Genomic DNA, 13667 nt, shown 5'->3' with positions numbered 1-13667 from the left:
GGTCAGAGACTACAGGTAGCAAAAGGAGGATGTGGAACAGGATTGGGGAACTTGGAGGGCAAAAGGGGAGAGAAGGCCCCCATAGGCACAGGGAAGGCAAAGATGCCACGCTACCTGACGGAAGAATTCCTCCATGAGGGCCTTGGTCCAACGGCTGTGGACCAACCACTGCTTGGTTGGGTGGCTGATGTCAGCAGCATGGAGCAGTAGAGACAGGGCCTTGGGCTTGTCAATCCTGGTTGGGGCAGATGGCAAGGGAAGGGAGACTGATCTTTTAGGAAAAGGAAGTTAGGACCATTCCCTAACTTCCCACGCACACCCTATCACATAACTTCTTCCTTTTTTTTTTTTTTTTTTTGAGACAGGGTCTCACTCTGTTGCCCGGGCTGGAGTGCAGTGGCACAATCTCAGCTCACTGCAACCTCTGTCACCTGGGTTCAAGTGATTCTCCCACCTCAGCCTCCCGAATAGCTGGGACTACAGGCGTGCATGCCACCACACCCAGCTAATTTTTGTATTTTTTTGGTAGAGACAGTGTTTCACCGTGTTGGCCAGGCTGGTCTCAAATTCCTGACCTCAAGCTATCCACCTGCCTCGGCCTCCCAAAGTGCTGGAATTATAGGCATGAGCCACCACGCCCGGCCTCACATAACTTCAAACACCCTCCAAAGCTACACACACACCCCACACACAGACACACACACACTTATATATGTTTAGGTAGCAGCACGGGTTAGTAGCTGAGAGCCCAGGCTCTTAGAATCAAAGGGCCTGGGTTCACGTCTATACCTACCACATGTTAGCCGCGTGACACTGAGCAAGTTACTTAAAATTTCCATATTTCATTTTCTTCAACTCTAAAATGGAAATAACAACCCTACCACATATCGAGTGGTTCTGAGAATTAAGTGACAAACAACAAATAAGTATTCAGGAGAGTGTCTAGCACATAATAAGTGCTCAGTAGATATTATCTAGAATAGTAATAATTATTATTATACCCTCAACAATGACCCGCTGTGACACTGCATCCCACACATAAACACCTTACACAGAGATTAACACACACCTTCAGGACACACACACACACAGTCCACTCTCACACACATTTATACATTCCCACTCACTTCTAAGCAACATTAGATGTAATTATGGCATTTGTTCTATGCATTTTTTTAAACCTCGTATGACTCTCCCAATAGCCCTATGAGACTAGGAACTAGGGGCAAGCTGTTGTGGGGGGAGGCGTATCATTTTCACCATTTCAGAGGTAATAAAACTGGGGCAGAAGGGTTGAATGAATTTTCCAACATTCCAGAGTAAGCCTGTCCCAGAGCTACGATGAGAACCCCCATCTTAGATTCCCAGCCCAAAGCACTCTCCAGTGGATCAGCTGCCAAGGCTGTGAGTAAACGTAAGGACACACACACACACACACACACACACACACACACACACACACTCTCTCTCTCTCTCACATAGAGATGCAGTCTGATACCTGAAGCCAGTGGAGTCTCTACAGCGAGGTAAAGACCTGGCACACCAACTACCCTTGTGTATACCCCCCCAGTTCACACACCCCTCCCTCTGGCCTGGCCCCAGCCACACCCCACCAGATGCCACCTCTCCAGCTGTTGCAAGGCTGTCTTCATGGTCTTCACTTGCTGGAAATGGCAGGACATGTCTGTGGCCAACACCATCTCAATGACCAGGGCTCGGAGTTCTCTGAGCGGACATAAAAAGAGAAGCAATCAGTCCCCTCAGCGCTGCTGGGCAGGAGGTCCAGGAAGTGGAAAATGGAGTTTGTGGTAAGGGAGTCTCTTAGGGATGCCAAGTACTGGCTTCTGCTCACACAAACTCATCCTTGGTGAGGTTGATGAAAATGTTCATCTCATCATCCTGCATCAATCGGAAAACAGAGCTGATGTGGTGATTCTCCAGCACTGAACGATCATTGTACACGATGGCACATTCTGACCTACAAAGCCAAAGGTCATCATGACCACCCCCTGTAAGGAGGGACTCCGGCAACCTCCCCACCTCCTCTTGGCCCCTCCTGCCCCTGCCACATCCCCACCCCTCACTTGGTCTGGATGTGGAAGCTGTTGGTAGTGCCCGTGTGCTCATAATCATGGATAGCTGCAGCAAAGATGATGGCCAGGAGCTCAATCTCCGACAGGCAGTGCTACAGGAGGAAAGAGAAAGAATGAGAGAGGGGTGACGCCTGCTGGTCACTTCCCAGGAACCTCCACACACAGGCTAGATCACTCATCCCATCCCTTCCATGCTTCCAGGCCAGCTCTTGGTTAATGCAGCCAGGTTTCTCAGCTCCTGAAATGGCCAAGGACCTTCCTCCATCCGAACCTGCAACACTCCCACTGCATCCCAGCACATGTCCCTAGCACTGTCCAACGAGTTTTAGTCTACCTGGGAATTCTCTAGAGTGAGTTAATCCAGTTTGGCTCTGTCAAGGCTTTGGAGTGCCCAAGAAGAACCAACGAGGAGAAATGGAAATGGGAGTACAGTCTAGACCTCCCAGTTCTGTAGCCATAGGCCCTGAATCACAGAAGAATCATCTCCAGGGCACCTACCACCATCCCTGTGCGGAGCAAGAAGCAATGGACTGTCTGGGTAACATCGGCTGCGTGGATCTGGTTGTGGTAAGGATTCTTGTACTTCCCATAGCCTGTCTCCAAGGCATCCAGGAAACTCATCAAAAACACAGTGGGAATCTGCGGGGAGTTAGGGGAAATGGAGATATATCAAGGATCCACAGGAATGGTGGTGATTACGGACCGAGATCAACAACTTTCTTTAGAAGGCAGTGTGGCATAGGGAGAGAGCACAGAACCTAGTTAGGTGAACCTGGCTCATATCCTGCCTCTACCACCTGCTGGCTGTGCAACCTTGGGTAAGTCACATGCCTCTCTGTGCCTCAGATACTTAATTGCAGAATGAAAGATAATACCACCTACCTGGAAATTAATGAGATAAGTACAAGGCATTTAGTAAATGCTCTCTAAAGAATAGCTATAATTATTATTATTTCCCTGGAGATTTCAAAGAAAATGAAAGAAAGCTTCCCTCCTACCTTCCAAACATCCCACTCCATCCCCACATCCAAAACCATGAAGAAGGGCTCGGAAGTAAGGGAATGAAGAAGATGACCTAGAGAGGACTCTTCCAGCCAGATGTGGGTTGCCCTCCCTGACCACTTACCCTCTACATGCACCAGTACCCGCGCCCTCAGTCCCACAGAACACACACAAAAGCACCAGCAGCCAGAGCTCTGTCCAGCTACTCTGAATCCGGGCCCTGTCTCTGTGTACGCCCTTAGGGTATGTCTGCCTCCTTCAAAAGGCTCAAGGCTCCCAGAGGACAGGACTGGTGATCTGTCCCTGAATCTCTTGAGGCTAGGAGGGGACGAAGGTTCAGGACTCGGGAGGTTTCTGTAGAGATGAGCAATATAGTGACAGAGACACAGAAGAAGCACCACTAGTCAGTCAGACCCTAACATCCCCCACCCGCACCCCTGGAGGGCTGTGCCCCAAATTCAGGAAATTTTAAAGGACTGTTTCCATGACAACTGCCCTTGCTTTTGCGTTGCCATGGCGTCCCTGGAGGGAAGGGAAGAAAAAGGGAGGAGTAGGGGAGGGGCTAGGTGCCCAGGAAAAGAATGTGGAGTTTGAGAAGGGCAGCTGCTGCTGGCCCTATCATCAGAGAAAACTAAAACAAGAAGCACCCCCTCCTTCCTCTAACTGCCTTGGAGCAAAGCAGACTGGGACTGGGCCAAACCTAACCCAAAACAGCTACTCTTGAGGTCCCCCAGACCCAGTCCTTCCAGGTAAGGAGGCAGAGTTTAGGAGAATCTAGTGACTGAAGTCTGAGAGCCAGTTTGGGGAAACATGAGCTGGGAAAAGTCTTAGGAAAAAGAGAGCCCTACTATTCTCTGTCCTGGAGAGGGCAGGATTGGAAAGAAGAAAGTAAAATTGCAGAACAGGCTTCCGGAAGGCACTTAAGAAAATTTCAGCTGAGCATCTCAGGAAAGTTTTGGAAACTCCCTAGGGAGTTGTTGTAAAAGGAGGAGTCAAGGGTGAAGGAAGGGCTTACATGCACAGATAATTTGTTCTAGTGAAGTGGAGGCAGAGGATGGATGGAATGACCTCCCGAAGCCGGCCTGGGAGGGGACCCTCCACCTGGACTCCTTTGACCGCCCCTCTCTATGGCCCTTCAGATCATCCACGTTTCCCTTCACCTTTAACATCTACTGCTCCCCAAAGTGCTGACCCAATATCCCCATTACGGCTCTTCAACCTCCCTCACCCTCTACTTCCAAATGTGATTTGTCCATGTGAAAGTGTTTTGTTTTTTTCCTGGCACTTTTTCCCTCCCAAAAGATGCTCCCTCCTGGTACAGGATCTAGGAAGGACTTAATCTCATATAATTCTTCCCATCCAGACAAGCTGAAGAGCAAATGAAGTTCACACACCGTCCCCCTGTCATACAAGCCCCCGCCCCGAGCCCTGTCAAGAGCTGACCTTCTCTATATAATTCCTTGCACAGAGACCAGAACTGGGGGACGGGGGAGGGAGTGGCCAATTTTATCCAGGAAACATGGTTTCTAGTCCCAAAGGGCACTGGCTGACAGCATCTGAACTCCAGGCCTCCAGTGTCCACACTGCAAGTCAGCCTAGAGAGGACAAGTTGGGGGAAAAAAGCAAAGCGGGAGAGAGCAGAATCCCAGGCTAGATGGTTGCAGACCGAGAATCTCCCCCTAGAAATCAATTAATGAAGTCTGGAACTAAGACTGCAGCAAGTGAAAGAAAGGCTAGGCTGGGCGTGGGCATGGGGAGACTTCCCTGATGTTGAGACTGAGTGAGGGGATCTATGGAATCTGTTTGTTGGGAGGCTTTTAGAACAGGCATGAGAGGAGTGGAGAATCCTGCCTGGAGGTAGAGGTAGGATGCTGCCCAACCTTGAAGCGGCTGATGAGGTTATGCCGAGTCAGCAACTCAAAAACAATGGTCCTCAGGGCATGGTCATCTGCTGCCTGGTTCAAGGAAAAGACATCAAAGCACCAGAGATCCAGGTTCTATGGAGAAACAATAGATTATGTGGCTTTCCAGCAGCAGCAAGGGTTGAAGTTAGACTTCAAGAAGGACTTCCCATGAGTACAAAGTCTTGGTAAATAGGAAAGCAAAGAAATGGTAAAGTGTGCCTCTTTCTTCCCATATATCTCTCAGTATGGGAGAGACAGGAAGGCAGGAGTTTGCTCCTATACTGGGCAAAAGCAGTTTTGATAAATGTGGGAACAACAGTTAAAAGGGAAGGCAGGCCGGGCGCAGTGGCTCACGTCTGTAATCCCAATACTTTGGGAGACCGAGGTGGGCAGAACACTTGAGGTCAAGAGTTCGAGACCAGCCTGGCCAACATGGTGAAACCCCATCTCTACTAAAACTACAAAAATTAGCTGGGCATGGTGGTGGGCACCTGTAATCCCAGCTACTCAGGAGGCTGAGGCAGGAGAATCGCTTGCAGGGAGGCAGAGGTTGCAGTGAGACGAGATCACGCCACTGCACTCCAGCCTGAGTGACAAGAGCGAGACTCCATTTCAAAAAAAAAAAAGGAAGGCAAAAATAATGCCATAAACAGGGTCTAGAAGTCCCAGTGGCTATTCCATCCCCTAACTTTCTCCTCTTTCCCAAAAACCCAGAGATTACCTTGAGACAGTTGAGAACCGCAGTAGAGTAAGTGGGGCCCACAGAGGTGTATGTTCTCCGGAACATCCTGAGAGAGAACAATGAGAAGAAGCCCACATATGAAGGTCTGGGAGTGGAGGTGTGGCCAGCTGGGGATGTGGGGATGAGCCATGGGATCATATGGCTGGTGGTCATGGAAGACCAGGGTGGCTGGGAAAGAGGGGCACAGCTAAAGGCAGAGGGAGGCTGAGTGTGGGCGAGCCTCACCGTTCCACGAAGATCCCAGCCTGCACAGCGTGCACAATGCTTCGGAACTTGGGCTTCTCCTCTGCTCGGCGGCCTTTGGCCCGGGCCTGCTGGGTGAAGGTGGAGGCCAGCCAGTCCCGCACCTCCGAAGGCACGGCATCTGACCGCAGCTCCTGCAGCTCGTCCTCCGTGTCCAAGATTTGCCTGAGACCCCAGAAGGGGAGTCACAGAGGAAAGACAGCAGGTGCTTCCACAGCCTAGAGACCCTGTACCCAGCCATACCCCACATTTAGTAACTCTCATGCCAGCTCTCTGTCTTCAACCCTGTTTCCTTTCTTTCTCTATATCTTTTTATTTCTTTATCTAACATCTCCAATAATGAAACAGGTCTCCATGTGAGGTAGTGAGCATCCCAACTATGGAAGTGTTTAAGCAGGAAATGGAACGCATCTTTCAGGGATGCTATAGAGCAGCACCATCCAATAGAAATAAAATGCAAGCCGCATATATGAAATTTTAAATTGTCTAGTAGGCCACGTTAAAAAGGAAAAGAGAAATAGGTGAAATTGACTTTAATGATAATTTTTTTTTTGAGATGGAGTCTCACTCCGTTGCCCAGGCTGGAGTGCAATGGCGCGATCTTGGCTCACTGCAACCTCCGCCTCCCGGGTTCGAGCGATTCTCCTGCCTCAGCCTCCTGAGTAGCTGGGATTACAGGTGCCTACCACCACGCCAGGCTGGTCTTGAATTCCTGACCTCAGTTGATCCATCCGCCTCAGCCTCCCAAAGTGCTGGGATTATAGGCGTGAGCCACCGTGCCCGGCAATAAATTTTATTTTACCTAATACCTCCAAAATATCATTTCAACATGAAACCGTGTGTGTGTGTGTGTGTGTGTGTGTGTGTGTGTGTGTGTGTGTATTTTTAGACAGGGTCTCACTTTATCGCCCAGACTGGAGTGCAGTGGTGTGATCACAGCTCACTGCAACCTCAACCTCCCCAGATTCAGGTGATCCTCCCCCCTCAGCCTCCCAAGTAGCTGGGACTACAGATGCACATCACCATGCCCAGCTAATTCTTATTTTTTGTAGAGACAGGGTTTCATCATGTTGCCCAGGCTGGTCTCGAATTCCTGGGCTCAAGCAATCAGGCTGCCTCAACTTCCCAAAGTGCTGGGATTACAGGCATGAACCATCACGCCCAGCCTTATAAAATATATTAATGAGATATCGGCTGGGCGCGGTAGCTCACGCCTGTAATCCCCAGGACTTTGGGAGGCCAAGGCAGGCAGATCACCTGAGGTCAGGAGTTCGAGACCAGCCTGACCAACATGGAGAAACCCCATCTCTACTAAAAATACAAAAATTAGCTGGGCGTAGTGGCACATGCCTGTAATCCAGCTACTCAGGAGGCTGAGGCAGAAGAATTGCTTGAACCCCAGAGGCAGAGGTTGCAGTGAGCCAAGATCACACCATTGCCCTTCAGCCTGGGCAACAAGAGTAAACTCTGTCTCAAAACAAAAAAATATATATATATATATATGAATATCTTACATTCTTTTTTCTAAGTCTTTGAAATCCATCATGTATTTTATGTACACATCTCAGTTCATACTTGCCACATTTGAGGTGCTCAATAGCCACCCAGAATGGTGGCTCCCATGTTGGGCAGCACACATCTAGAGGTATTCCACAGTGGAATAGATGAGCTTTAAGGTCCCTTCCAACTCTGAAGCAGTCTTCTGTCCTTCTTGATATCTGTGTTTGTCTCTATCTCTGCATCTCTATGTCTGCCTCTGCTTCTTTATCTCTTACCACTATTTCTCCCTGGATACCTGGAGCTCTTTTTTTATTTTTTTTATTTATTTATTTATTTATTTATTTTGAGACAGGGTCTTGCTCTGTCACACCAGGCTGGAGTGCAGCAGCGCAATCTCAGCTCACTGCAACCTCTGCCTCCTGGGCTCAAGCCATCCTTCCACCTCAGCCTCCCGAGTAGCTAGAACTACAGGAGCATGCCACCATGCCTGGCTAATTTTTTTTTTTTTGTAGAGACAGGGTCTTGCCATGTTGCCCAGGCTGGTCTCAAACTCCTGGGTTCAAAGAATCCACCCATCTTGGCCTCCAAAGTGCTAGGATTACAGGTGTGAGCCACTACCTAGAGCTCTTTATATCTGGTCCACCCTCTCTCTTTCTTCCGGTCTCTGTCCATGCCACATGTGTCTATCTTTGTCTTAACCCCTCTCTCTGGAACACTATGTCTGACATCTTTCTCCTTCTCTGTCTGTCGGTCTCTCTCACCGTGTCTCATCTATGTAGACGGCTTCCAGCAGAGAAGCTGTGTACTCCAGATTTTTCTTCAGCTCCTCAATGTTTATCTCCCCATTCTCCAACTGCTTCACCATGTAGCGCAGCCTGCAGGGAGCAGATACAGAGAGGCTGCTTAGGCACAGCTACCTTATCATGAGAACAGCATACTCCCTAATAAGGTACATTTTACAGAAACATCCTCAGTCTTTTGTAAATAGTTAATCATTCTAACATTAATAATAATAGCAGCTAATGTTTCTTTTTTAATCTCAGGCTATTGCCACTGCCTGTATTAAGTTTATCTACACCCAAAGTTTAATGCCAGGTTTTCCTGACTCCACCATCCCCACCACCATCTGACTTCTCGAAACCCGCTCTTTAGTCAGTGCTTAGTCTTGTTTAAAATGCCAGGGCCCAGCAGAATTAGGCAGGTACAAGCCCCTGGAGTGATGTTTTTAGGATGATCTGTTTCATAGCCTGAATAACCAAGAGCTGAAACTGCTTATTTCCCCCATGGGAGAGGGCTTTGGGATCAATAGCAATCAAGATAGCCCCCAAGAGTATTTCATTGTCTCTTGGTCATGGTGTGGGGGGTGGGGGTTACGTGTCCACAGCCCCTCTGTGCCTGGCAGGCATGGCAAAAGCACAGAACAAAGACAAATCTGAATGCTTTCGCCTGGCCTCTCTCCATGCAGGCAAAGCTAATGGATTATGATTCCAGAATCCATCAACCAGGACAAAGCCGGGTTAACCCCTGCCTTTCCAGTCTTACACCAGAGAGAACCTCTGACAGAGTTACTGTACCCATCCCCTGCCTCTGTCCCCACTGAAGCTTCTTCCAGGATAAAAGTGGTGGGGTGGGCCCAGGGATCTCATTCACTGGATGTTTTGCCTGAAGGAACAATCACCTCATGTTTTACACTTATGAATTCTGGGGTTTGTTGATTAACTGGGAGACTTCTTAGAAGCCTGGTGAGTTCAGCCCAGGCAGTCACAAAGCAAACAAAGCTCTTCAGATGGTGATTTTAATGAAAGCAGTTAAATATTCCTTTCTCTCCTTTCCCTCACCCTGCCCCACCCACCTAAAACCAATCTGGGGCTGAAATGGTGGCCATCATAATTCCCCACTGAGAGGGGCTTCAAAAACCCAAGGTCACCCTATGAGTCAGGGAGGAGAAGAGAATGAGTCAGGGATCAGAGGCTGAAATTAGCATCAATTCCCAGGGATGCCGGGGGAGGGAGAACAATGGCGTTCCTGAACAGAAGTAGCTCTAGAATCCCGGGGTCTCGGCAGCTTTGGAATGGGGTGCCCAAAATAGCCAGCCCCAGGAAGCATCACAGGCCAGTTCTCACCTCAGGGCCTAGCAATCCTGGATGACACGTCTGAGAGCAAATGGGACAGAAGGGAAAGTGGCAAAGAAGTTGGAGGACGGCACTGCAGCCTCCTTGGTTGGCTATCCTCAAATCTCACTTTCAGCCTTCCTGCTGCACCATCTCCATGTGGAAACAGCAGGTTGTTTAACAAGTAAGAGGATGATTTTAGTAAAGCTCAGCCCCAGCTCCAGCTTCATTAGGGAGGAGGAATAGAGGCGAGATATATCATAAAAGGCTTTCCCAGCTAAATGAGCTGGAAAGGGGCTATGAGCCAGTGTCTCCCAGAGTACCCCGCCCAGAGATCACAGAACAAAGAGGTACGCTTTGCCTTTGGTGCCCAGGCACAAGCTGGGGCTTCCCTCTGCCGATCAGTCCCCATAGCCAGGGACCCTCAAATCTGGTGACATAAAACCCAAAAAGGAAAGAAGGCCTCTTCTTCTGCCTATAGTTCTCTCTCTCCCCCAGATTCCCACCCCAGCCTTCTGCTTCATTCGGCCCTTTTTACAAAACTTTCCCCAGGGATCAATGCCCATCATCAAAGTTCTTCCAGTTCCCTTCTCGACCCACCTTTTGAAACCCACATCCCAGCACTGGCTCCCAAAGTGAGCAGCCACACCCACGGCACTCATTTGCATGTATTTGCATAATCGCTAACAATGCTGCCAGTTCTACATTTTTAAAAGTGCTTTCTCCTACATTATCTCATTTTATCCTCACAATGGGCCTATGAAGAAGGGAGGCGGGGAAGGAATTGCCATTTCCATTTACAATGCAGAAACCAAGGCTCAGGAGGCAGCTTTGGTGAGATGTATCCAGCAGCAGCACCAGTCTGGGAGGCAGGAATCCTGGATTCAAAGCTAGTACTTCCTGCTGTGAGCCTTTGAGCAAGTCACTAACTCTTAATCGGTGCTTTTTAAAATGTGGTCTGTAGCCCACCAGCATCAGAATCACCTTGGATCCATGTAAAAAATATAGATTCTAGGTCTCATTCCACAGCTGCTGAATCAGTATTTCTGTCCAGGGATCTGCTGGACAGGGATCTGCTTTTTTGTTTTTTTTTGTTTGTTTGTTTTGTTTTTACTTTGAGACAGGATCTCACTTTGTCACCCAGGCTGGAGTGCATTGGCACAACTGCCTCCACCTGCTGGGCTTAATCAGTCCTCCTGCCTCAGCCTCCTGAGTAGCTAGGACTACAGGCATGTGCTACCATGCCCGGCTAATTTTTTTTTATTTTTTGTAGAGATGAGGTCCTGCTATGTTGCCCAGGTTGTTCTCAAACTTCTGGCCTCAAGTGATCCTCCCACCTCATCCTCCCAAAGTGCTGGGATTACAGACACGAGCCACTGCACCCGGCCTGCTTTTTTTTTTTTTTTTAAGAGACAAGGTCACCCAGATCATAGCTCTGGACTTCCTGCAGAAGAACAGTGAGGTGAGGACTTTGAGTGGGTCTGGGGAGGTCTTAACTCCAAAAGACTTTACAATAAGAGAAGGTCCTGCCAGGCCAGAAAGTATGGGTGTGGGGGGTGTTATTTGACTTCAGGAGGGTACAGTTCAGCACCTGGATCCTTTCAGCCACTTTAGTCCAGATCCTCTTCTTAGACTTCTCATTTGTCATATTTATTCTTTAATCTTCCTTTCCCTCCCTCCCCACCTCCTTCTGGTGTCTGGATCATGTTTGGTTCAACAGATTTCAACAGAAGCTATACAAGAGCTCCTGGACAAGATCTAGAAGTGGCATGATCATAGCTCACTGTAACCTCAAGCTCCTGGGCTTAAGCAATCCTCAGCTTGAGGCCTCCCAAAGTGTTAGCATTACAGGTGTGAGCCACAGTTCGCAACCCAATCTGCATTTTTAAAAAACACCCCAGATTATTCTAATATACACTAAACTTTGAGAATGTTTATCTTAGAGCCTCAACTTGTTCATCTATAAAGTGGTAAGGATGATAATAAACATTTCACAGGGCTATTAATAAGAGGATTAAGTGATATAATACATTAAAAGGCCTGGCACATACAAAAGGTCTCCAAAAATGTAATTTGAATAGGAATTGACTGATCAACATCAAATCATGGTGGTCCTAACCCAGCTCACACCACACTCCCTTCAAATACAAGTACCTTCTCTCTCCCAAGTCCAGATGGAGAAGACTGAGTTGGTTTGGATTGAGGCTGGTAATTAGGAAGCTCCCTAACAGAGGAAATGGGAGAAAGATAATAGCCATGATCTTTCCTTTACAATTACAAACTTCATTTAATCTTCACAAACTCCTTATCAGGGAGGTTAAGTGACTTGTCTAAGGTCACACAACTCATCCATCTCAGTCAGGTTGTCAAGGCCTACAACTCAAGCTAATGGAACCTAACCGTGTCCCCAAACAATGAAGCTGTTAAGGCAGAACAAACCTAATCATGCAGTTAGCTTAGAGAGAGGCTGGAACCCATTCCACCATAGCTTCTGCAGTCTCAGCCGGTCCAACCTTAATTAATTCTGTCGGTTGGCCCATAGGAGACTGTGAGTGTCTTGATGACGCTGACAGTGGCTTGTTTATCTTGGCCTCCATCCTCAGAGCACACAGAACATGCTCAGTAAAAGTTCATTAAATAAATAAAACGGAAAGGGGAAAATTAATCAGGTGTGAGGCTATCTCCCAGAGCTCACAATGGAGATTTCTGAGCCAGGGTTTCTAAAAATAACAGTGAGCCTGAGAAGAGTAAGGTTGTAGGTTGACTTCAAGCACAGGTTTCCCTCCGAGTTTCTCCTTCTGTCACTTACAGATCTTGTCCAGGAGCTCTTGTATAGCTTCTGTTGAAATCTGAACCAAACACAATCCAGACACCAGAAGGAGGCAGGGAGGGAGGGGAAAAAAGATTAAAGAATAAATTTGACAAATGGGAAGTCTAAGAAGAGGACCTGGACTCAAGCAGCTGAAAGCACCCTCTTGAAGGTGCTGAACTGCAACCTCCTGAAGTCAAATAACCCACTCCACACACACACCCCATACTTTCTGGCCTGCCAGGGCCCTCTCTTATTCTAAAGTCCTTTAGAGTTAGGATCTCCCCAGACCACTCAAAGTCCTCACCTCACTGTTCTTCTGCAGGAAGTCCTTCTATCCCACCAACATCAGTTTTAATCCAAACCCTCTGTTTCAGCCATCAAGGAATCTGGCACAGTAAAGGTACCTTTCCCTGTAGAACAGGATGCTCAACCCCGTCCAGTCCACATCTGGCCCCAAGGAAAACTGGCAGCTTCCCCCAACTTTCCTTCGAACTCCATCCCTGCCCGTTTCACCACCACCACTTCTTTCTGCTTTACCTTCAGTCCCTGCACGATTGGAAAAGCCTCAGATCCCAACTTCTGGAAGTCCACAGTCTCTCCTAGCTCTAGGCAGCCATTGGGAGGAAAAGACTCTGGCAGTTATAACCCCAACACCTCAGAAGAGCTCAGCTTCTCCAGCTTCTACAGTTCATTTCTTTGGCTCACCATGGCTGGTGTTCTGGGGATTTCCAAAGTCCCCTGCCTCCGCTTCCAGCACCCACATTCCCAAAAAGATCACCATAAGTAGGGGGCTTAGGACAGGGAAGCCAGAGAAGGACTTCCTGCAGAAGAACAGTGATGTGAAGATTTTGAGTGCGTCTGGGGAGATTCTAACTCTGAAGGACTTTAGAATAAGATAGGGGATGGGAGTCAAGAGAAGAATTCTATTTCCAGTTTGGGTTCTTAAGACAAGATGAAATTTCGAAGGAATGTGAGGTCCTAAGGATGTTGGCAGTCAGGAAGGAGAGAAAAGGAAGAAACAATGATAAGTCACCTACCATAGTCAAGAAGAAGCAATTTTTACAAAGGTGGGGGGGGATGGAAATGGGAGGAGAATAAGGTAAAGGGCAAGATGGACAGAGTAAAAGGTGAAGTTGGCACGCGCACACACACACACACACACACGCACAAAACATATGGGGGACTGCCAGGTCTTGATCTCTCCACTTCACTAAACTACAACTGGTGGATCCATGAGCAACCTGTCCTTTCCCTCCTCCC

General features: G+C 48.3%; 1 protein-coding gene across 9 annotated transcripts in view, besides 3 other annotated features; it reads right to left on the bottom strand.

Moving 5' to 3' along the window:
- The window catches only part of PDE1B (phosphodiesterase 1B), a 29639-nt gene that overhangs the window by 3907 nt on the left and 12065 nt on the right, over positions 1–13667 (bottom strand). For 4 of the 9 annotated variants that reach the window (NM_000924.4, XM_047428970.1, NM_001288769.2 and 1 more), the window contains 9 exons: positions 8246–8359; positions 5967–6149; positions 5721–5787; positions 4976–5092; positions 2592–2732; positions 2085–2185; positions 1853–1978; positions 1624–1725; positions 115–235 (listed from right to left, as the gene is read on the bottom strand). In NM_000924.4, the coding sequence (NP_000915.1) occupies positions 115–235; positions 1624–1725; positions 1853–1978; positions 2085–2185; positions 2592–2732; positions 4976–5092; positions 5721–5787; positions 5967–6149; positions 8246–8359 (1072 nt within the window). Of the gene's footprint in view, positions 1–114; positions 236–1623; positions 1726–1852; positions 1979–2084; positions 2186–2591; positions 2733–4975; positions 5093–5720; positions 5788–5966; positions 6212–8245; positions 8360–12034; positions 12056–12944; positions 13654–13667 lie in introns of those variants that run through there. The other 5 variants (XM_017019433.2, XM_017019432.2, NM_001288768.2 and 2 more) reach the window with 5 other exon arrangements.
- Positions 3474–3768: a silencer, noted in NCBI's record as "tiled region #444; HepG2 Repressive non-DNase unmatched - State 22:ReprW". NCBI's record gives its function as "represses a minimal TATA promoter and a strong SV40 promoter by Sharpr-MPRA in HepG2 cells {active_cell/tissue: HepG2}" and the evidence as "EXISTENCE:reporter gene assay evidence [ECO:0000049][PMID:27701403]".
- Positions 9877–10566: an enhancer, noted in NCBI's record as "OCT4-NANOG-H3K27ac hESC enhancer chr12:54958551-54959240 (GRCh37/hg19 assembly coordinates)". NCBI's record gives its function as "activates a minimal SCP1, AML or CMV promoter by ChIP-STARR-seq in naive and primed H9 embryonic stem cells {active_cell/tissue: H9 hESC(naive and primed)}" and the evidence as "EXISTENCE:reporter gene assay evidence [ECO:0000049][PMID:30033119]".
- Positions 10567–11258: an enhancer, noted in NCBI's record as "OCT4-NANOG-H3K27ac hESC enhancer chr12:54957859-54958550 (GRCh37/hg19 assembly coordinates)". NCBI's record gives its function as "activates a minimal SCP1, AML or CMV promoter by ChIP-STARR-seq in naive and primed H9 embryonic stem cells {active_cell/tissue: H9 hESC(naive and primed)}" and the evidence as "EXISTENCE:reporter gene assay evidence [ECO:0000049][PMID:30033119]".

Source organism: Homo sapiens, chromosome 12 (genome assembly GCF_000001405.40).
Source record: "Homo sapiens chromosome 12, GRCh38.p14 Primary Assembly".
NCBI classification, from domain to species: Eukaryota; Metazoa; Chordata; class Mammalia; order Primates; family Hominidae; genus Homo; species Homo sapiens.
The sequence above is the reverse complement of the archived record's forward strand: the minus strand, read 5'-3'. Positions and strand labels throughout refer to the sequence as shown.